A 22,608-nucleotide genomic window follows, 5' to 3' on the forward strand; every position below is an offset into this window, starting at 1 on the left:
GTCACCTCTTGGGGACCCATTCAAACATGCCCCCAAAAAGTGTGTGTCTCCTGCAGCGTAACCACACCTCCTGCCTCACTGAGAGCCCTGGGCTGAGGCCAGAGCCTGGCTCTCTGAGCGGGGCCCTTCTGCAGCATCAGACATGAACTTGGGCCCCCAAAAGAGTAGGGACAGCCTGTTGCCTGCATTACCTGCCAGGATGGAGTGTAGAGACTCTTCTTTCACCACAACCACCTGTCTGTGAACATCCCTAGGAGGGAGACAGGGAACAGTTTACTCACCAACCCAGGTAAACACATCAGAGTGTGCCTTGGCTGCTCAGACACCCTGGCCCTACTGCATGCGACCCTAACCCTGGCCTCTCCTAGTGAGAGGGGCTCTGGGCTACGAGTGGCTTCTGCTCTCCATGTGCCACTACACTCCCTCTGCATTAAGGCTGCAGCACAAAGCCCAGGCAACAGAGCCATGGGGAACCCTCAGCGCCCACACCACTTTGGGGGAAGCCAGGCCACAGCAGCCACATCAGGAACATGGCCACATTCTGCCAGCTAAGACTCCATTTCTGATGAATCTTGCATAGGACCCTGGCAGTGCAACTGGTCGCATGGGCTGCTCCAGTAAGGAAATAATCGAGCAGGCAAGCTGCCTCCATCCCCCTTGCACACTACCCCTCAGCCCTCAGCCTACCCAGGGCACCCAACACAAGCAATATCACTAACTGCTCAGGGCCTCTTCTGGGGCCTGATGGCCAGCCTTGTCCACTGCCTTCCCTGCCCCTGCAGTGAGGTGGGGCCTACACAGCCCTGTCCTGCCCTGGCTGAAGCCCACCCCACCCTGTGCCTGCCTCTCACCAGACAGAGAGTGTGGCTGCAGCGGTGAGCGCCATGACGTAGGAGCCTGTGCAATGCAAAGTAGAGATCGGGGATGGCAGGAGGATGGGAGAGAGGAGACGGCGACCACAGGTGGAGAACACTGACAGCATCCTTTTTTCACAGGCGACACACACCACGTCACTGAGAAGGCAGAGTGGGGGCAGGTGTCATGGGGGCTGAGTGCTGCAGCCAAGACAGTAGCCCTGGAAGTGTGGGCCTTCCCTCTGCCTGGGCCCAACAAGGGCCTCCCCTGAGCAGGTACAGCCAGAAGGGAAGGTGGATTGGGTCAGGGTAGGGCTGGTGGGGCTGTTGGAGCCTCCCTGAGATCTTGGATGAAAGAGGCTTCTGTCCTATTTCCACAGGCTGCCTGCGCTTTCCTGAGCTCATGCTGATGCTGACCAAGGGGTGTGGGGGCTTTGGAGAGCCAATGCCTCTGATGATCACCCAGGAAACATGCCTTGCTCATCAGATAAGGCCACATAGTACCCACAGGACAGTCTCCTGGCTGCAACTAGTCAGACCAGTCCTGAGAAGGTCTCTAACAAGGCAGGCTAAGAGAAGTATGGGGATGACAGCATGCACCTCTGTGTCCAGGGGGCTGTCTGGCTGGCGTGGGAGATGTGTGTCGCTCCCAAACAAGGAGTGCGTTACAGAACAGTCTGGACACTGTCCAGCTTCTCCCGAGTGACCACCAGGCCCCTGGGTGGGCCCTGCACGAGCAGGCTGCTGCCTTCCCAGACAGAGCCCCCTAAGGCACAGCCACAGGCCCAGGGTGAGGCTGGAGCTCAGACGCAGGCAGGGGTAGCAGATGTACAGCCAGTACAGTGAGATCCTGGCCACAGTAGGCCACCCAGAGCCCTGCTTTGTGTCACTTCTATCCTGGTGAGCCAGTCACTCCAGCAGGCTCAAGGAGGTCAGTTAAGGAAGGAGCTCTGCCAACTGCCTTCCTAATGAGCCACTATTGCTACTGGCTCCAAAAAGGGAGAGGCAAGTGAGATGCTTTTGTTTACAAATGTTTACTTGGAGAGTATGAATCAGAGAACACTCTAAGCAGCACGGGCAACAAGGAGCTCTCTGCAGTGCTGTGACTGAATTCTTATTTTTTCTGAGACAGAGTCTCGGTCTGTCGCCCAGGCTGGAGTGTAGTGGCGTGATCTCGGCTCACTGCAACCTCCGCCTCCCCAGTTCAAGCGATTCTCCTACCTTAGCCTCCCGAGTAGCTGGGATTACAGGCACATGCTACCACGCCTGGCTAATTTTTGTATTTTTGGTAGAGATGGGGTTTCAATATGTTGGCCAGGCTGGTACTGTGACTGAATTCTATCTGCCCATCTCTGGTGGTCAGAGCCTGGCTCAAGCCAGCCCACTGCAAAGAAAGCCATCATTTTTGGGCTGTAACACTGGGGAACAGGTCTGCAGGCTGGGCCTGAACTGGGCAGGACTAAGCAGGAGGAGAGGTCCCACGTGGTCCAGCAGGCTTGCCCCACAGCTGCCATGTCACTGTGGGAGAGGCTGTGCCGACACCCCTTAGCCCTCAGCTGGGCAAGCCACCTGCCTTGAGGGGAGGGACAGAGAGTGGGAGCCTGTGGAAGCATCTGATACACAGGTGCCTGGGACTGGGAATTTAAATGGCTCATCTGGAGGGGGAATTTGAGGGAGGAACAGAACAAACAGTGGGGTCCCCTAGGCCTAAAAACACAAAACTCACTCAGGGCCCACGAGAATTGTGGTCTAAGACCTAAGGCCATGTGCTTTGACACAAGTAAAAGCATTTACATGGGACCTCATGGCAGATGATTAAGGGTGTAATTATGATGACTGTATCTGGTCCTGACTGGGATGCTACATCAGACAGGAACCTGAGGAGAAACATTGGTTCCCCTTCCACATTGAACACAGGTAGGGACAGGGCTCACGTACAGTTCTAGGAACCCAGGGGAAGATACTGGGTGACTAATCACTGAATCAAGGTCCCCCTCACAGTGCAGAATCTGGCATGGGCTGGGATGGGGACTTCAGGGACAGTCAGAAATCCATCCTGACCAACTTGGATGGAAATCTGGGATCCAAAAAAGGAACCAGCCCAGGTCAAGGTGAGCCAGGCACACCTCAGTGTGGAATTCGAGACTTTGGGGATCTGGCTGGACAAGGGAATCAGGCCATCAGGTTCAAAGCTTGGCCTGGGTAACCCTCAAGGGCTCAGTTTCCCCATCTGTAACACGGGGATACTGATGCTGACCTTGCTGGGTGCTGCAGGGACTGAGATGACAAGCACATATGCTTGGCCTGGAGTGAAGCCTGGTGTGAGTCTCTGTGGGAGCTGGTGCTCCCAGGGTCATGCACCTCCCCTAGACAGGCCCAGGCCCAGAATGATGGCATGTGTGCCTGTGTCACCTGGGCCGGCTAAGGACCTGCCCACCCTTACCAGCTGCCCGCAGCAGTGAGGATCCGGCTGGTGAGTACCGTCTCCCACTCCTTCCCTTCCCGGTTGCACTTCAGGCGGCTCAGCTTCACGCCCCCCACCACTGTCACTTCATTCTCCACCTCAATGTACATGGAAGGATCGGAGCTGACCTGGATGAAGTAAACACACGGGTCTGCTCAGACAAGGGCCGCAGCCCAGGTGACATGCTCCAAGGCTCTGTAGCCTGGGGCCCCAAGGCAGCAGCAGGATACAGAGGCAGACTGGCTGGCCAAGAGAGGAGAGGGAGGGCAGGTAGGGCAAAGGGGCTGAGCGGGAGGCCCAGAGGGCCAGACATGTGGCCCCCAAGGCAGGGAGAATGCTGGGAGCTGGTTTCTACCCTGTCATTTGTGTAGTTGAACAGCCAGAGAAGAGAAGCAGTGCCAGGGTTAAAGACCCCAAAGTCTCCCAACCCTGCCACTTCATCTCACAAGGGAGTAACGTGCCCAAAAGCACACTGCAAAGGACCGAGCTGGGAGTGAGACTTGGGTTTCTAGCCTCCTACTTGAAGAATCTTCAAAGATGGCAGTGTTTGGCAAGATTAGAGACCATGTCAGTGCTTGGAGGGAATGTTTAGAAAACCCCCAAAGGGGCTCTCCAGTTCCTGTGGTGGTGAGACTTGGTCTGCTCAACTGAGACTAAACTGGCAGGGGTGTTTATGGCACAGCATGTATGAAAAGCACCTAATTCAGTGTCTGGCACCAAATGGGCTCAGCCACACGCGTGTGTGGGGAGCTGACCAACAGATTTTCCCTGTGGTAAAATAGGCAGAACCACCAAACAGTCTGTGCTTGTGTGGCCACTCAAGTGGGTGAGCTGGGCCGAGGGCTGACTGCCCCCTTCACAGACCCAGAAATGACAGTCCCAAGCAGTGCTTGGAGGGCAAGATGCCTAGGGGAAGGGCTGGAGGAGTTTGGGAGAGTTCTGTGCTGAGAAGCAGGGCACCCAGGAGGGAACCTAAGTCAGAACACCTCTGAGTGCAAGAGCACGTCTGAACGCTGCTGACCACTGGAGGGCCCCTGCCTCCGTTCACACCAGCAATAAGAACAAACCCTATGGGTTCCTACCCTTTGGCTTCCCTGCTTCATTCCTCTGCACTGTGGCCCAGAAGGACCTATGGTAGGAAGGGCTGACGCCTGCTCTCTGGTGCCCTGTGAGGACCAACCTGGGCTCAGAGCAGTGTGTAGCCAGTGGGAAGTGACCCGCAAGCAGGGTCCAAGAAGGCTGCTCGAGGACACGCACCTGAGCTGAGGTACAAGGGTATGCAGAGAGGCAGCAGTGTGTGTGACGGCACCATGGCAGGAGAGGCCTAGATACTATGCTGGGCCAAGTGACCAGGAGGGCTCTGGGTATAAAGGATTATTTACTCCAGAATTGTGTTTTGGATAACCACATGCTTACAAGCTTCCATTCCAAGAGCTCAAACAACTCTGATGATTGACTGTGCCAGACACTGAGAAGACAAAGCTAGCAGGATGGTTGGGAGATAGATTATGACCACACATTCCCACAGACACCAAGCCTGAGGCTGCCCAGGGCTGTGTGTGGAGGTGGAGGTGGCTTCCAGCCAGGACACCTGAGAGGAGTCCTGAAGAGCACCAGAACATGTGGTGGTAATGGCAGCCCCAGCAGCTGGAATCCCAAGGGCAAAGCCAGACAGAGGCTATGGGTGAGTGAGAGTGGAGGCTGGCAATTTCGCTAAGAGTTGGTGGGTACCCCGATCTGCTATGACTTCTCCCAGAAGGTGATGGAGAGCCACTGGAAACCAATCTCCAAGGAAGTGACAAGATAGGATTTGTATGCAGTAGGGGACAGAGAATGTCTGGGTGTGCCTGAGGGAGAACTGGCAGGGTCCTAGAACTTACCTGGAGGGTGAATGCTCTCTGGGGGCTTGGAATTGGCAGCTTCAGTGCAAGTGCTGGTGCAGACAGACACATGGCCTCCTTCTCTGCGGTTAGGGCAGCTGGAGACTGGAAGAGCCAGAAACGTTCCTGAGCCTTGCTCTAACACTACGGGGTAGCATTTGGTAAAGGCAGGTCACCCAGAAGTGAGGCTGAGCCTGCGACCAGAGCATTTCCACCCTGGGAGGGAGGAAGCAGAGGGGAATGCTACAAGGATCCTAACCTCATGGACAAGCCAGTTGATGCCAGGGAACCTGCTCAAGGGCCCTGGGTGAGTCAAGGGCACATCTGAGGGAGAGCGTGGCCTCCATGCTACATTCCAGGGGCTGCATGTCTAAGCCAGCTGGTTCCCAAGGTGACCCACCCAGCTGAGGCTTACCATGCACACAGGGCCTTCAAGCTCTAAGTACAGAAAGGTGGGCTAAAGAAGGCAGGATGGGCCCACTGGCCTCACCTGGACAGACAGAGACACAGGCATGAGACGAGAGTCCTTCCGAGGCCGCCCTTTCTTCTTCTTCTCTACTGTCTCTACCTCAAGCTCAAGTTTTCGCTTGGACAGTGAGGAAGCCTTAGCCAAAGGGACTTTCTCATCGCTGTCACTGCTGCTCTCCAGGAGGTCTCGGGGCCTCAGCTCTTTCACAAGGTTCTGCTCTTTTAACCTGCACAAAAACATTACATCACACTTCCCTTCAGAAACCATTCATGCAAGAAAGAGTGAAGTGAAATATTTAAAGTGCTTAAACAAACCTCTTGCCAACCTAGAATTCTGTGTCCAGTGAAATTATGCCTCAAAAGTAAAGGAGAAATAATGACTTTGTCAGACAAAAATAAACAAAGAGACACCGGAATCTGTTGCCAGAAGACCTGCCTTGCAAGAAATGTTAAAAGTCTTTCAGAGAGAAGATAAATGATGCAGGCCAGAAACTCACATCTGCATGAAGAAAGGAAGAGTGATGTTAGAGAAAAAAAACAATGAACATAAAATAGAATCTTTTGTATTTCATATTCCCAACTGATCTGAGAGACAACTTTCTGTTCAAACAAATAACAGCCACCATGTCTTGAATTACTATAGTTTATGAATGAGTGAAATAAGTGGTACCAATGTCATAGGGCATGGAAGGAAAGAGTGGGGAACTCTTTCTACTACCCATGAAGTGGTATAATATTATTTGAAAGTAGAGTTAGGTTATAAATGTTTATTGTAAACTCTAGAGCAATCACTAAAAAAAATTTTTTAAAGCATAATTAATAATGCTGAGAGGAGAGAAAATTTATTTTTATTTTATTATCATTTTTTTTTTGGAGATGGATTTTCACTCTTCTCGCCCAGCCTGGAATGCAATGGTGTGATCTTGGCTCACTGCAACATCCACCTACTGGGGTCAAGTGATTCTCCTGCCTCAGTCTCCCAAGTAGCTGGGATTACAGGTGTGTGCCACCACGCCTGGTTAATTTTTGTATTATTAGTAGAGACAGGGTTTCATCATGTTGGCCAGGCCAGTCTTGAACTCCTGACCTCAGGTGACCTACCCGCCTCAGCCTCCCAAAGTGTTGGGATTATGGTCGTGAGCCACCATGCCTGGCTGAGAAAACTGAATCATATAAAATACTCAGCTAAAACCAGAGAAGGCAGAAAAAGAAGATAAAAAGAAGTGAAGATTAAAAAAAAAGAATAAGGCCGGGCACGGTGGCTCACGCCTGTAATCCCAGCACTTTGGGAGGCTGAGGTGGGTGAATCACCTGAGGTCAGGAGATTGAGACCGTCCTGGCCAACACGGTGAAACCCTGTCTCTACTAAAATACAAAAAATTAGCCGGGTGTGGTGGCGTGTGCCTGTAGTCCCAGCTACTCGGCAGGCTGAGGCAGGGCAATTGCTTGAACCCAGGAGGCAGAGGTTGCAGGGAGTCAAGATCGTGCCACTGCACTCCAGCCTGGTGACAAAGTGAGATTCCGTCTCAAAAAAAAAAACAAAAAAAACAAAAAAAAGAAATGGGTTTATGTTTTTAAAAATTTAATTTTAACTACAAAAGACAAAGACAGATTAATAGTAGGTGGACACAGTGGCTCATGCCTGTAGTCCCAGCTACTTGGTAGGCTGAGGCAGGAGGACTGCTCGAGCCCAGAGGCTTGAGAGCAGCCTGGGCAAAATAATGAGACCCCATCTCTAAGAACAAAAAATAAGTAAATAAATAAATACAAGAAAAGGGGTGATTCTAACTATATGACAACCTGGAACAGGCAAAACCATGGAGACAATAAAAAGATCAGTGGTTTCCAGGGGTTGGGGAAAGGAAGGTAACTATATGAAGCACAGAATTTTTAAGGCATTGAAACTATTCTGGCTGGGTGTGGTGGCTCTTTCCTGTAATTCCTACACTTTGGGAGGCCAAGGTGGGCAGATCACTTGAGGTCAGGAGTTTGAGACTGGCCTGGCCAACATGGTGAGACCCCATCTCTACTAAAAATACAAAAATTAGCCACGTGTGGTGGCATACACATGTAATCCCAGCTACCTGGGAGGCTGAGGTAGGAGAATTGCTTGAACCTGGGAGGCGGAGGTTGCAGTGAGCCGAGATGCGACTGTGCCACCGCACTCCAGCCTGGGCAATAGAGCGAGACTCTGTCTCGAAAAAACCCAAAAAACTATTCTGTAAGATATATAATGATGAATATATGTCATTATACATTGGTTAAACCCGTAAAACGTACAACATCAAGAGTAGACCCAAATGTAAACTTTGGGTGACGGTGTGCCCCACTCTGGTGGGGGATGCTGAAAGTGGGGGATGCTATGGGTATGTTGGGGAGGCGGGCATGTGGGAACTCTTTGTATTTCCTGTTCAATTTAGCTGTGAACCTAAACTGCTCTAACAAATAAAGTCTATTAAAAAAAAAAAGCGAGGACTGGAGAAAGACATGCCATGATAACACTAATCAAAAAAAGGTGGTGTAGTTACGTAAGCAAAGCAGGCATCAGAGACAGTAAAGTTATCAAGGATAAAGAGGGACATTACACAGTGATAAAGATGAAGGAGTCAATTCTTCAAGAAGACAGAACAATTCTGAATAAGTACACAGGCATACCTTGTGTTATTGTGCTTTACTTCACTGTGCTTCGCAGAGACTATGTTTTTTTTACAAGTTGAAGGTTTGTGGCAACCCTGCATCAAGCAAGTCTATTGGCGCCATTTCCCCAACAGCAGGTGCTCATTTCGTGTCTCTGTGTCACATTTTGATAATTCTCACAATATTTCAAACATTTTCATTCTTATTGTATCTGTTTTGGTGATCTGCCATTAGTGATCTTTCATGTTAGTATTATAACTGTTTTGGGGCACTGTGAACCACACCCATGTAAGATGCTGAACTTAATCAATAAATGGCGTTTATGTTCTGACTGCTCCACCAACTGGTTGTTCTCCTGTCTCCCTTCCTCTCCCCAGGCCTCCCTATTATCTGAGACAAAACAATATTGAAATTAGGCCAATCGATAACCCTATAATGGCCTCTAAGTAAGTGTTAAACCAAAAGCTAAAAATGATTAAGCTTAAAGAGGAAGGCACATTGAAAGCTGAGACAGGCCAAAAGCTATACCTTTTGCACCAGTTAGCCAAGGTGTGAATGCAATGGAAAAGCTCTTAAAGGAAGTTAAAAGTGCTACTCCAGTGAACACATGTTTGAAAAGAAAGCAAAACAGCCTTATTGCTAATATGGAGAAAGTTTTAGTGCTCTGGATAGAAGATCAAACCAGCCACAACACTCCCTTAATCCACAGCCTAATCCAAAGCAAGGCTCTAACTATTTTCATTTCTATGAAGGCTGAGAGAGGTGAGGAAGCTGGAGAAGAAAGTCTGAAGCTAGCAGAGGTTGGCTCATGAAGTTTAAGGAAAGAAGCTGCCTCTATAACATAAAACGGCAAGGTGAAGCAGCAAGTGCTAATGTAGAAGTTGCAGCAAGGTATTAGAACATCTAGCTAAGATCATGGATGAAGGTGGTAACACTAAACAACAGATTGTCAGTGTAGGTAAAACAGCCTTCTATCAGAAGAAGATGTCATCTAGGACTTTCCTAGCTAGAGAAGGGAAGTCAATGCCTGGCTTCAAAGTTTCAGAAGACAGGCTGGTTATCTTATTGAAGTGAATGCAGCTGGTGATTTTAGGTGGAAGTCAATACTCATTAACTATTCCAAAAATCCTAGGGCCCTTAAGAATTATTCTAAATCTATAAATGCAACAAGAAAGCCTAGATGACAGCACATCTGTTTAGAGCATGGTTTACTGAATATTTGAAGCCCAATGTTGACACCTACTGCTTGGAAAAAAAGATTCCTTTCAAAAGATTGCTGCTGACTGGCAATGCACTTGGTCAACCAAGAGCTCTGACAGAGATGAATGTTGTTTTCATACCAACTAACACAACACACATTCTGCAGCCCATGAACAAGGAGCATTTTCATCTTTCAAGTTTCATTATTTAAGAGGTACATTTTTGCCTGTGGTCCCAGCTACCTGGAGGCTGAGGCAGGAGGACTGTTTAAGTCCAGAAGTTCTGAGTTATAGTGCGCTATGCCAATTGGGTGTCCACACTAAGTTTGGCATCAGTATAGTGACCTTCTGAGAGCAAGAGACCACACCAGGTTGCCTAAGGAGAGGTGAACTGCCCAGTTTGGAAACAGAGCAGGTAAAAACTCTTGTGTTGATAAGTAGTGGTACTGTGCCTGTGAATAACACTGCACTCCAGCCTGGGCAACATAGCAAGACACTATCTCTTAAATAAATTAAAAATAATAATTAAAAAATTTTGTGGGCCAGGTGTGGTGGTTCCCGCCTGTAATCCCAGCACTTTGGGAGGCTGAGGCAGGCAGATCACAAGGTCAGGAGACCGAGACCATCCTGGATAACACGGTAAAACCCCGTCTCTACTAAAAATACAAAAAATTAGCCAGGTGTGGTGGGGGGCGCCTGTAGTCCCAGCTACTTGGGAGGCTGAGGCAGGAGAATGGCGTGAACCCGGGAGGTGGAGCTTGCAGTGAGCCGAGACCGCACCACTGCACTCCAGCCTGGGCGACAGAGCGAGACTCCGTCTCAAAAAAACAAAAAAACATTTTGTAAGCTATATCAGATTCCTCTGGCAGATCTGGGCAAAGTAATCTGGAAAGTATTCACCATTCTAGATGTCATTAAGAACATCAGTGATTCATGGGATGTCAAAATATCAACCTTAACAAGAGTTTGGAAGAAGCGGATTCCAACCCTCATGAATGACTTTGAGGGGTTCAAGACTTCAGTGGAAAAAGTCATTACACATGTGGTGGAAACAGTAAGAGAACTAGAAGTAAAGCCTGAAGATGGGACTAAATTGCTGCAATCTCATAAAAAACTTGAACAAATGAGGAGGTGCTAGTTAGGGAAGAGCAAAGAAAGTAGTTTCTTAAGATGGAATCTCCTGGTGAAGATGCTGTGCATATTGTTGAAATAATAAGGGATTTATTTATTTTTATTTTGAGACAGATTCTCATTCTGTTGCCCAGGCTGGAGTACAGTGGCACAATCTCAGCTCGCTGCAACCTCCGCCTCCTGGGCTCAAGGGATTCTCATACCTCAGCCTCCCCGAGTAGCTAGGACTACAGGCATGCACCGTGACAACCGGCTAATTTTTTGTATTTTTAATAGAGATGGGGTTTCACCATGTTGGCCAAGCTGGTCTTGAGCTCCTGACCTCAGATGAACCACCCACCTCGGCCTCCCAAAGTGTTGGGATTACAGGTGTGAGCCACTGCACCTGGCCTTTATTGGCATACATTGAAATATCATGCCATCGAAATCCTTTTTGTAAGGTTGGTACTAATGCCTCCTTTCATTTCTGATTGTATTTATTTATATACTAATCATACTTTAATACAACTGTATGTCGGGCTTTTTTCAAATAACATTCCATCTGAACTATTTTTCCATAGTACAGTCATCCTTTGGTATCTGCATGGGGATTGATTCCAGGACCCCCAGGAGATATCAAAATCCAAGGATGCTCAAGTCCCGTATATAAAATGATTTAGTATTTGCATATAATGTAGGCACAGCTTCCAATGTACCATTTTTTTTTTTTTTTTGAGACGGAGTCTCACTCTGTTGCTCAGGCTGGAATGCAGTGGTGTGATCTTGGATCACTGCAACCTCTGCCTCCCAGGTTCAAGTGACTCTCCTGCCTCAGCCTCCCAAGTAGCTGAGATTACAGGCACGCACCACCACGCCCCGCTAATTTTTGTATTTTTACTAGAGACGAAGTTTTGCCATGTTGGCCAGGGTGGTCTCGAATTCCTGACCTCAGGTGATCTGCCTGCCTTGGCTTCCCAAAGTGCTGAGATTACAGGTATGAGCCACTGAGCTGAGCCCGGCCAGCCTCCTATATACTTTAAATAATCTCTAGATCACGTATACATAGTACAATGCCTAAAAATAACTTCATTTGCATGGATTCAAAGTAGTACTTGGCATGTAGCAAATTCAGTTTTTGCTTTTTGGAACTCTGTGGAATTTCTTTTCCCAAATATTTTTGATCCATAGTTGGCTGAATCCATAGATGTGGAACCCATGGATACAGAGGGGCGCCTGTACTTTGGTCCTTATAAACATTAAAGAGAGGCACAACATAATGAATAGCTTACTTCCTCAACACCTCTCTTTTGAAGAAGTTGGTAAATGTTTCTCATAATGCTGTGTTAAACATCTCTAAATATGACAGACTCCCTGGATCACAGGTGCTATCACTGATCTTATTTCCTCAAGGAGTTCACCATGAGTGAACTCCTGTCTAGTATCCAAGAGCCCTCATCCCTGCCTGCCTTCCCACTGCTAACCAGCCTCTGGCCTGTTAGCCCCTCCTCTGGGCACTGTCTTCAGCTGTTTTCCCTGCTAGTCACCTGGGTCAAAGAAATGTGGGCAGATACACACACCAGCGTGTAGAATCCTGGATTCTTTTCATTTGTATCCATGTGAAAAACTGGGAAGACAAGAGGCCCATGACGCTGCTCTGTGAAACTGAAGTGTCTGTTCCCCTTTCTTCTAATGTCCTACAACAGGGCAAAGCATCCATCTGTGGGTGTAGCTTAATATTCTGGAAGTCCTGAGTCAGTGCTCCTCAAAATCCTTTAAAAATTTTTTTTTTTTTAAATGTCAGACATTTGCCTCTTCAAAGAGCTTGTTTTACTATGTTGTAAAAATCAGATCATGTACATTTTCATATTAAATTTTTTGTTAAATAAGCTTTTGGAACAGTCAAAAATGCTTTCTCTCAGATGTTCTGAATATGGAAATGGAATATTAGCTTGTTCTAATTTTTTCTAACATGAATTTTCCTGGTTCAGACTGATCTGAAAGGGTTTCATGTATTAAAATGAGAGAATCCTATTGTGAAACATGGAAAAAAAGTCAGACTTTTATGTAACTATCGTTTTGTAAAATACAGCGAGAATGTCACAGCAACGTCCAACTATCATCTAAGTTTCTAAGGCGGGCGGTGGCTTCCTGAGCTCACCACAGCACTGGCCCATGACATACACTTGCTTGGCACTGCCGAGCTCCAGCTGCTCCACCCTCTCTGGTTGGGACCCCTGAGAGCCCTTAGGAGTCTCCCCACCTCCTGCCTCTGCCAGATGCCCCATTCAGGGACTCTGGGGCCAGTGGCCCACTGGGAACTGCACCTCCCCAGCCTGCATGTGGGCTTGTATCAGTTGTTACAATATCCCTGGGAGCACCAGGTAAATCGATCTACAGCAGTTGCCCAATGGGTCTAGACATCTGTGAAGCAAGAGCACAGCTGGCCAGGGCTGCCCCCCTTACAAATGGGCTCCATCCTAGGTTCTGTCTGCTCAGGCCTACTTGCCCTGTAGTCACTTACCTCAGGTCCCTACGTGCTTCTGCCTGACACCTGGCCTTAGGAGAGGGTGGAGCAGAAGACCCACAGTTTCACCCAGGGCTGCTACCCTGTACCTGGGATGCTAGCATTTGGCTCCCAATCCACCTGAGGCTCTTGGCTAGGAAGTGCCAGTCAGGTTGCAGGGGTCTCACTGCCCAACCACTGTGACGCACAATGAAGGAACAACAGCAGGAGCTGACATGTGCTGCTCACCGTGAGGCAAGGACCAAGATACGGCTTTACAGGCCTAAGGTTAAGGGATACCTCCTATGAGGAGAGTTTTCCTGGGAGGTCCATTCTGCCTGAGAGGAGATGGACTCAGAAAGACCATGTGTCTCAAGATTATCCCTCCTCCCTCTCTGAGGAAGTGGGGGACCTGGGCCTAACTTGCAAGGTGTATTACTTTGCGCACCACCCCTAACCACTGCATGACACTGTGCCTCAAAGAAAATCTCCACTGAAGGCCAGGTGCGGTGGCTCACACCTGTAATCCCAACACTGGGAGGCCGAGGTGGGCGCATCACTTGAGGTCAGGAGTTCAAGACCAGCCTGGCCAACATGGTGAAACCCCATCTGTACTAAAAATACAAAAATTAGCCGGGCGTCATGGCATACACCTGTAATCCCAGCTACTAGGGAGGCTGAGGCAGAATTGCTTGAGCCTGGGAGACAGAGGTTGCAGTAAGCCAAGACTGCGCCACTGCACTCCAGCCTGGGCGACACAGCGAGACTCTGTCTCAAAAAACAAACAAACAAACAAAGAAAATCTCCACTGATGGGTGTTTTCTTGTTTCGTTTTGTTTTTGTTTTTTGAGACAAGTCTTGTTCAGGCTGGAGTGCAATGGTACAATCTCGGCTCACTGCAATCTCTGCCTCCTGGGTTCAAGCGATTCTCCTGCCTCAGCCTCTCGCCACTACACTTGGCTAATTTTTGTATTTTTATAGTAGAGACGGGGTTTCACCATGTTGGCCAGGCTGGTCTCCAACTCCTAACCTCAGGTGATCTGCCCACCTCGGCCTCCCAAATTACAGGCATGAGCCACCACGCCTGGCCTGTTTTGTTTTTATTCTTGTTTTGAGACAGGGTCTCACTCTGTTGCCCAGGCTGCAGTGGAGTGATTTCTGCTTACTGCAACCTCTGCTTCCTGCGTTTAAGGAATTCTGCTGCCTCAGCCTCCTGAGTAGCTGGGACTACAGGCACGCACCACCATGCCCAGCTAATTTTTGTATTTTCAGCAGAGATGGGGTTTCACCATGATGACCAAGCTGGTCTCAAACTCCCGGACTCAAGTGATCCACCTGCCTCGGCCTCCCAGAATGCTAGGATTGACTACAGGCATGAGCCACTGCACCAGGCCTCCAGTGATGGGTGTTTTAAAGGGCTCCTCCTGGTTTTCATTGAGAATCAATACAAGAAAACAGCCACATCAAGAAAGTATCTGCATTTTCTGTAAGGCCTTTGTTAAAGATACTGGGACTTGTTTTATTTCATTTTCCTCATATAAGGATCCAACCCAACCTGAGAATTCAGCACCAGGCTCCTAGAAGCTCACTATACTCATTCTGGCTGGAAAGCAGGAAGCTCAGCCCCAAGTGAATGCTCACTCACTGCCACTTTCAAGTGAGAAACTGAGGATGACAAATGTGATGGTGGCCCCTTATTATACAGATCTTGCTACAGCTGTATTTATGGCTGGACGGTCTTGTGAGACCCTGTGGACATAGCTGCTGAGGAACCAACCCTTGTGGCACCAGGACCCAGGATATACAGTCAAGATTCTGTCTCCAGAAGCCAATCTAAGGGCTATCCTCCTGGCTTCTCATTCAGGGTATGCACTACATGAGAGATAAGGGCCACAGAAAGCCACAAAGCAAACATGAGTGTCTTCCTCAATAAGCAGGACTGTCTGTGGCACACTGTAGTTTCTCTCAGGTGGGGAATTCATTTTATTTATTTTGTTCAGAACTTGCTCCATTTCAAAATCTGAGGTTTCTTCACCTTCTGGTAAGCCTCTTAACTCCCTCTTGACAACTACCCCGCAGCACATCCTCCTGGGGGGACTCCTCTCTATTGCCCTGTCTTCAGCTCCACCTCCTCACCTCTGTGCCACTCTGGCCAATTTTGTAGACTGAATGTTCTTTTCAGCTGGTTCTGATCTGCTCTCTGAAATGCTTGTTGACTTTTAAACTGCAATGATTATTATTTTTCTTTTCTAAAAGTATTTTTTTTGGTTCATTTCCAAATCTGGTTTTTTTTTGATAGTGTATTATTCTTTTAATTTTTATTGAGATATATATATCATAAACTTCGCCACTTTAAAGTATAGAATCATTAGCTTTTAGCATATTCATAAGGTTAAGCAACCATCATCACTATCTAATGCCAGAACATTTTCATAATTCCAAAAACAAACTCTGTACCCATTGGTACTCACTCCTTATCCTCCCTCCCTCAGACCCTGGCAACCACTGTTACTCTACTTTCTTTATGGATTTTCCATTCTGGACATTTCCTATCAATGGAATCATACAACCTATGATCCTTTGTGACTGGCTTCTTTCTCTTAGCATAATGTCTTTAAGGTTTATCGTTATTGTAGCACATGTAAGCATTCCATTCCTCTTTATTGTTGAATAATATTCTATTGTATGGGTAAACCATATTTTGTTTATTCATCACCTGATGGACTTTTGGGCTATTTCCACTTTTTGGTTATTATGTACAGATGTGAACATTCATGTATGAGTTATTGCATGGATATATGTTTTCAATTCTCCTGGGTATGTATCTAGGTGTGGGAACTGCTAGGTCAGATGATAACTCTATATTTTACCATTTGAGGAACTTCCAGACTGTTTTCCAAAGGTGCTAAAAGACTTTACATTCCTACCAGCATGTATATGAGGGTTCCCTTTAGAGCTAATTTTTGTTTACAGAATAGAGTATTAATCTTTCCTCACATTTTGTTTTAGCTTTCATGTCCTTCAAGACTTAAGCATACTTTATAGTGCCATCTGACAATTCTATGATCACAGGTTTATAGGACCAACACTTATTATCTGACTATCTGATCTTTTAATTACAGACCTCCAAATGGGTATGAAGTATTTCATTGAAGTTTTGCTTTGTATTTCCCTGATGGCTAATGATGTTGATTGAATTTTTATGTACCTGTGCTTTGTATATATTCTCTGCAGTTTCTCTTCAGATCTTTTGCTCATTTTTAAGCTGTGTTATTCGTCTTTTTATTGTTGAATTGTAAAAGTTATTTATATAATTTAAATTCTGGACTTTAATTAGATGGGATTTGCAAATATTTTCTCCCATTCTGTAGGTTGTCTTTCAATTCTGATAGTGCTTTGGAAGCAAAAAAGCTTTTAATTTTTTTTTTTTTTTTTTGAGATGGAGTTTTGCTCTTTTGCCCAGGCTGGAGTGAAGTGGCGTGATCTCTGCTCACTGCAACCTCTGTCCCCCGAGTTTAAGTGATTCTCTTGTCTCAGCCTACTGAGTAGCTGGGATTATAGGCGCCTGCCACCATGCCTGGCTCATTTTTGTATTTTTAGTAGAGATGGGGTTTCGCCATGTTGGCCAGGCTGGTCTTGAACTCCTGACCTCAGGTGATCCACCCACCTCAGCCTCCCAAAGTGCTAGGATTACAGGCGTGAGCCACCGTGCCTGGCCAAGCTTTTAATTTTTAACATGGTTTTGTAAAGATGAGGTCTTGCCATGTTGCTCAGGCTGGTCTGAATTACTGGGCCTTCTGTCTCGGGCTTCCAAAGTGCTAAGATTATAAGCATGAGCCATTGTGTCCAGCCAAAAGTTTTAAATTTTGATGAAGTCCAATTTATCGATTCCTTCCTTTAGTTGTTTGTGCATTAGGTGTCATATCTAAGAAACAGTTGCCTAATCCAAGGTCACATAGATTTCTATCTATATTTTCTTCTAAGAGTTTTATAGTTTTTGCTCTTACATTTAGTTCTTTGTTCCCTTTTGAGTTAATTTTTGTTTATAGAATACAGTATTAATCTTTCCTCATTTTGTTTTAGCTTTTGTTCCAATTTTGTTTTAGCTTTCATGTCTTTCAAAATTTGTTCCAATTTTGTTTTAGCTTTCATGTCTTTCAAGACTTAAGCATATTTTATAGTGCCATCTGACAATTCTATGATCACAGGTTTATAGAAACCTAAGTCTCCCAGTAAGTATGTCTCCTGACATTTGTGCATGACAGGCTCTTTCTTCTTGTGACTGTGGATTTTATGATCATCTAAACAGTGCTTTATCAGTGGTAATGCTGTACACCCTGGCCCAAGGAATGTCACTGCATGGTGGATACGCATCTCTGCCAAGTGCCTCTGAACGTCAATTAGACCAGGATTTCGTTTGTGTTCATTTCTCGGCTTGGCGATTTCTATACAACACAAGTAGTATTAAACTGGCCCTGAATCCACATGAGGGCAGACCTGTGGTTACACAGTCTCAAGGGAAGACTGTTATCCCAACCCAAAAACAGGCTGAGACATTCCAACTTCTCTGCTAGTTCTTGTGCTGTCAGTTGGGTTTTCCCAGGTCTGCCTCAGTCCTTTTTTAAGCAGCTTGACTTTATGCTGGTGACTTAATTCCAACTCCTACATGGCTTAGACCCCAGGCCTTGTCTCAAGTCGATGTGGTCATTAAAACTCAAGGTCCTCAGTCAAGACCCCTAGCCTTGCACCCATGGTGCAGTTCTGCTCACTGCTCTGGCTTTTTTGTTCACTCTTAGATTTTAGACTCTGGGTACTGCTCTTTCCTGTGAACTAGTTATTCATTTTAGGGACGAGGGTTGCATTTAATCCAGCATTTCAAAGTATTTAGAAGCATGGAGACCGCGCGCGGTGGCTCACGCCTGTAATCCCAGCACTTTAGGAGGCTGAGGCGGGTGGATCACCTGAGGTCAGGAGTTTGAGACCAGCGTGGCCAACATGGTGAAACCCCATCTCTACTAAAATTACCAAAAATTAGCCAGGTGTTGTGGCAGGCGCCAGTAATCCCAGCTACTTGGGAGGCTGAAGCAGGGGAATCAATCAAACCTGGGAGGCGGAGGTTGCAGTGAGCAGAGTGGCTAGGACAATAGACATAAGCCACAACACCTGGATAATTTTTCTGGTAGAGATACGGGTCTCACTATGTTGCCCAGGCTGGTCTCAAACTCCTGGCCTCAAGCGATCCTCCTGTCTTGGCCTCCCAAAGCATTTGGGATTACAGGCATGAGCTATCGCATGTGGCCTGCATTGAGTTAATTATGAAACAAGCATGATTAGATTACAGAGCAGACTACAAGATTCCACACCAAGTTTATAGATACAGCATCAAACTTGCAGAAAGGGTCCTCCCATGCTAGCTTCCAGGAACTGTTTTCCAAGGAGAATAAATCCTGTCCAGACATGCAGTTCTGGACAGGGCTTTTCATAAGCAAAGCCCCAGAGGTAGCATGCTGTGGCTTTAGCTCCAAATCACCATCTACTGCAAGGACAGGTCACATACAAATGCTCCTTTCATTGGGCACCTGCTGGCTGTGTGGCTACTGCAAGTTTCTGACCAGTGTCCTTGTACTTGGCTGATGGTGGCACAGGCTAGGGTGTGTCTGCCCAGGGCTGCTGAGCCCTATAAACCTCGCAGTGGGGTGCAACTCTTAAGGGACAGCTCTTAAGCCCCCAAAGTCCAGCCCACATCTGCCTCTCCTCTCCTAGGCTCTGACTCACTGGGATGTGAACTTAGCTCCTTGTCAAGCTAGGCTTGGAGGGAGGGGCCCTCTCAGGAGGCAGAGAACTTCAGTGCCAATGGCAGAGGCTGCAGACATTCGCTCTGGCCACCTCAGGAGGATGCACTACTGCAAAACTCCAAGAAATAAAGAACTACAACCTGCGTGATGTCACAGCTGTGTTTGAGGGGAGACCCAGAGAATGGATAAGCAGCATAGTGTCCACAAGAGCTCAGAAGCCAATCTGACTTGACAAAGACCTCACTTACATCATTTTTATTGCAGCTCTCTACCTCTGGTCAGTTTCTGAGTGGAAGGCCGTCACTTCCATGATGTATCAATATCAGAGTCTTCCACCTCTCCAACTAATCTCATGCTCTCTTCCGTGCAAACTCTGGGCTCCATCCAAACACCATTATTCTCAGTTCAGCCTCTGCACTGACCAATCCTTGTGCCTTTGACCTTGTGGTTCTTTTGCCGCGTCCTCCCCCATGACTCCTTCCAGCCACCTTCCCACTTCAAGGAACCACCTCTTTCTCCTGGTGGCTCACTAAGGGCTCTGCAGTCTTGCTCCCATGTATTGAGTGGCTAGAGTCTTTTCCCCAACAGGAAGGCAGGTTGCTTGGTGGGAACACTGCCACTGTGCTGTTGACCCATGCCTGCACCCTGCCTGGTCCTTCAGGGTCCTGCAGCTACCACCTACCTTTCCACAGCTGTCGGAGTCATGCTGGTCAGGGCAGGAGCACCTGGTGTGGCTTTGGACCGCTCTGTGAACCGGGAGTCAAACGCTTTCATGGGTTCGATCTTGGACGGGGTCGTTAACACAGAAGGTGACAATGCAGCAGGAGTAGAGGTAGCATTCATACTGGGGTGAAGAAGAGGGGAGGCATGTCAAGCGCAATCCTGAAAGGATCTGGAGGTCTAGTATTTGCATTATTTGGAGCCTACTAAAAAAGGCACAAATATCAAACTTCCATAAACACAAAAAATGTCAAGATACAATCTACTACTCCCATTTCTTTAAAATTTTCATGTGTCAAAATTATGGACACCTAGAAGGTTGTGAGCAAATGCATTCACATTTCCCCCTTTGCACTGTTCTGAGAGCTTTTGCGGGTAGAATGAGGCCTAGAACATGGTTCTTACAACCCTTTTCTCTAGTCACACTGCCCTATCTCCACAACTTAAATACAGCACCTCTACCCCAAACCACTCCAGCCACTCACCTTTCCCACTTTGACAATGAGTCTCATGAGATAAGCCTGCACCTGGGGTCCTGAAGCCATGGTCTGCTTTTACCCTTAGTCAGGCATCCTCCATCCTGAGCGGCCCCTCCCATATCTCCCTGTGACAGTGTCACATTCTTAGCATTATGCTCCAAGTGCTCATCACACAACTTTCATCTTCTATTCCACAGAGAAAGGAGAGGCCAGGCAGAAGCCTGCCTGGTCCATCCTTCATGTCCAAGCCCACACCACACGCTTTGGGACCATGGCCACTGGACCTCCTCCTAAGCACACCCAGGCTAACACCTTCCACTCCTATCTGCCCAGACACCACACCACATGCCTGGTAGTCACCCTGGACAGCCCCATTCTTCTCCTCCATGATCTGTGGCCACTAGAATGGGCCATCCCCACAGAGTTCTCAGATCTGGCATGGTCTGTCCTTCCCAGGCTCCCTTCGTCCTGGCATGCTTTGCTTCCTCACTGGTCTTGCTGCTCAGTCTTCTCTTCCTACCCTCTCAGGGTCCCCCCAGGGCAGTGACCTAATGTTTGGGCATGCCTTCACAGCCATGGTGCTAGCACCCAGAAGTAGGAGGCTGAAGTAACATAAGACTCCATTCCACCAATGGAGAATTGCTCTGACGGTATCAGCTGTATCCCAGAAGCAGGGGGCTGCAGTAACACAAGACTCCATTCCACCAATGGAGAATCGCTCTGACGGTATCAGCTGTATGTGCCAGGGAGTGGCCTATTTGGGGCACCACCGCCTAACAGAGTCACTTTCCTAAAATGGAGATCTCAAAGCCTTCTACGTCTCCACTCTGGGGAAAAGCCCAGACTACCTGATCCAGCACAGACACCTTGGCCTTCTCCCTCTTCTTGGCCTTCCTCAGGGGACTGGGGGGCTGCTGCCCCTAATCCCCAGGCCTCATCCCCTGGTAGGCCTGTATGAGTCCTGTGGAGGGTACCCTCTGAGGCACCTCCCTGATCCCTGAGATACCAGCCCCTCTTTGGATGGCTAGCCATTTCTATCCAGGGGACCTGAGGGGCCACCTGCAACCCTGTGGCTACCTCTCCCCCACCAGCCTACACACTCCCTGAGGATGAGGACCCACCCATTAAGCCCCTGCGATGCCTGGGGCCTAGCAGGGTGTATAACCCAGAGCAGGTGCTGAGCAAACGTTCACTCCTGGCTTTCATTTGTGCTTGCCTGGTTCTTTCTGATTTCTAATTTGGTTTCCAAGTAACAATGGGTGAGGACACAGGCTCTGTGAGTGAATATAATTCTGAGAGTATAAGGGGAGTCTGTGCCCTCCCACAGGAGAACCCTGCCTAAGATGAATGCTGTGTGATGTGCTCAGCAGAGTGAAGTGGAAGCTGAGGCCCCAGAAATGTGAAGCACCTCCAGTGTAGAGCTGCCAGGTGGGGCTGACCCTGCAGCACGTAGCATTTCACTGGTAGTTCCCACCCTTAGCAGCCTGACCCTCGGTCAGCCTTGATACACTCTGTGAAATCCTCAACAGTCCTGTGCATCAGAGACTCACTGAACAAGTCCTCCCCTCTGAGAAGTCCCCATTTCAAATCACGCATTTTTTTCTTTCTTTTTTGATTGAAGGGGCCACAAAGTGCAAACAGAATAAAATTCTCTGTCCTCAAAACTATGTGCAAACCTGAACTTTCCCCAGGGACAGGAACAAGCCTTGGCACCCACTAACCTGTCTTTATTGACAGAATCGCCTGCAGGTCTGGCACTGGCAGCCACCACAGGCTCTGTGCAAGGCTTCGAGGCGCCGAAGGAGTTAGGGGTACTGGAGTCCAGTGGCAGTAGCTGTGGACTGCTATGAGAAGAGAGCATGGTGCCCGCCAGGGAGCCCGAGAGGGGGATGCTGTTAAAGAATGCCGTGGAGAAGTCCCTGTCATCAAGTAAGAACAAAAGTCAGCCTTGAAAGTCAGGTGCCACATCCAGTACTTTATACATTCAAATAACTTTTTTCTAGGTCCAAAGGCAGTATGTTTTCATGATAGAAAATCTGCAAAGTTACAGAAAAGTAAAAAGAAAATTAAAGCCACTTAATATACTATATTTAATTGAATCTAGGATTTACAGGTTCTATATGTACTACTAAGAAAGAAAACAATGCTACTAATTGTCAGATGCCATTGACTGTACAACACACCCAAATCTCAGAGGTGTTAAACTGTGCAAACACATGTCTTAGGAGGAATGAAATGCAGCAATACAGAAAGGGCCTCCCTTTCATGAAGGGCCATGGGGCATGCCACTAGATGGGTGTGCCATAATATACCTAACCCAGCCTCTACTGAGGGACCACAAGACTGTCTCCAGCTTTTTCTAGAACAGATGCTGCTGCACCAGGAAGCAAGGTATTGCAGTGTCAGAACTGAGGATTCTGGGACAGCCAGGTCTGACTCCTCTGCCATTTGTTAGCTTGTGACTTGCTCTAACTACTCTTGTGCCTCCAGTCATGTCTG

The 22,608-nt window shown here is 47.8% G+C and overlaps 1 protein-coding gene and 1 pseudogene across 1 annotated transcript in view; one reads left to right on the forward strand and one right to left on the reverse strand.

Moving 5' to 3' along the window:
- Positions 1 to 22,608, reverse strand: part of HIRA (histone cell cycle regulator) — a 101,036-nt gene that overhangs the window by 25,341 nt on the left and 53,087 nt on the right. The window contains exons 14-20 of the mRNA NM_003325.4: positions 21,831 to 22,028; positions 19,593 to 19,754; positions 5,689 to 5,893; positions 5,199 to 5,303; positions 3,298 to 3,446; positions 852 to 1,013; positions 192 to 250 (exon numbers count right to left, since the gene is read on the reverse strand). Coding sequence (NP_003316.3) covers positions 192 to 250; positions 852 to 1,013; positions 3,298 to 3,446; positions 5,199 to 5,303; positions 5,689 to 5,893; positions 19,593 to 19,754; positions 21,831 to 22,028 — 1,040 coding nt within the window. The remainder of the gene's footprint in view (positions 1 to 191; positions 251 to 851; positions 1,014 to 3,297; positions 3,447 to 5,198; positions 5,304 to 5,688; positions 5,894 to 19,592; positions 19,755 to 21,830; positions 22,029 to 22,608) is intronic.
- Positions 9,727 to 10,006, forward strand: RN7SL168P (RNA, 7SL, cytoplasmic 168, pseudogene; annotated as a pseudogene).

This window comes from Homo sapiens, chromosome 22, assembly GCF_000001405.40.
Source record: "Homo sapiens chromosome 22, GRCh38.p14 Primary Assembly".
NCBI classification, from domain to species: Eukaryota; Metazoa; Chordata; class Mammalia; order Primates; family Hominidae; genus Homo; species Homo sapiens.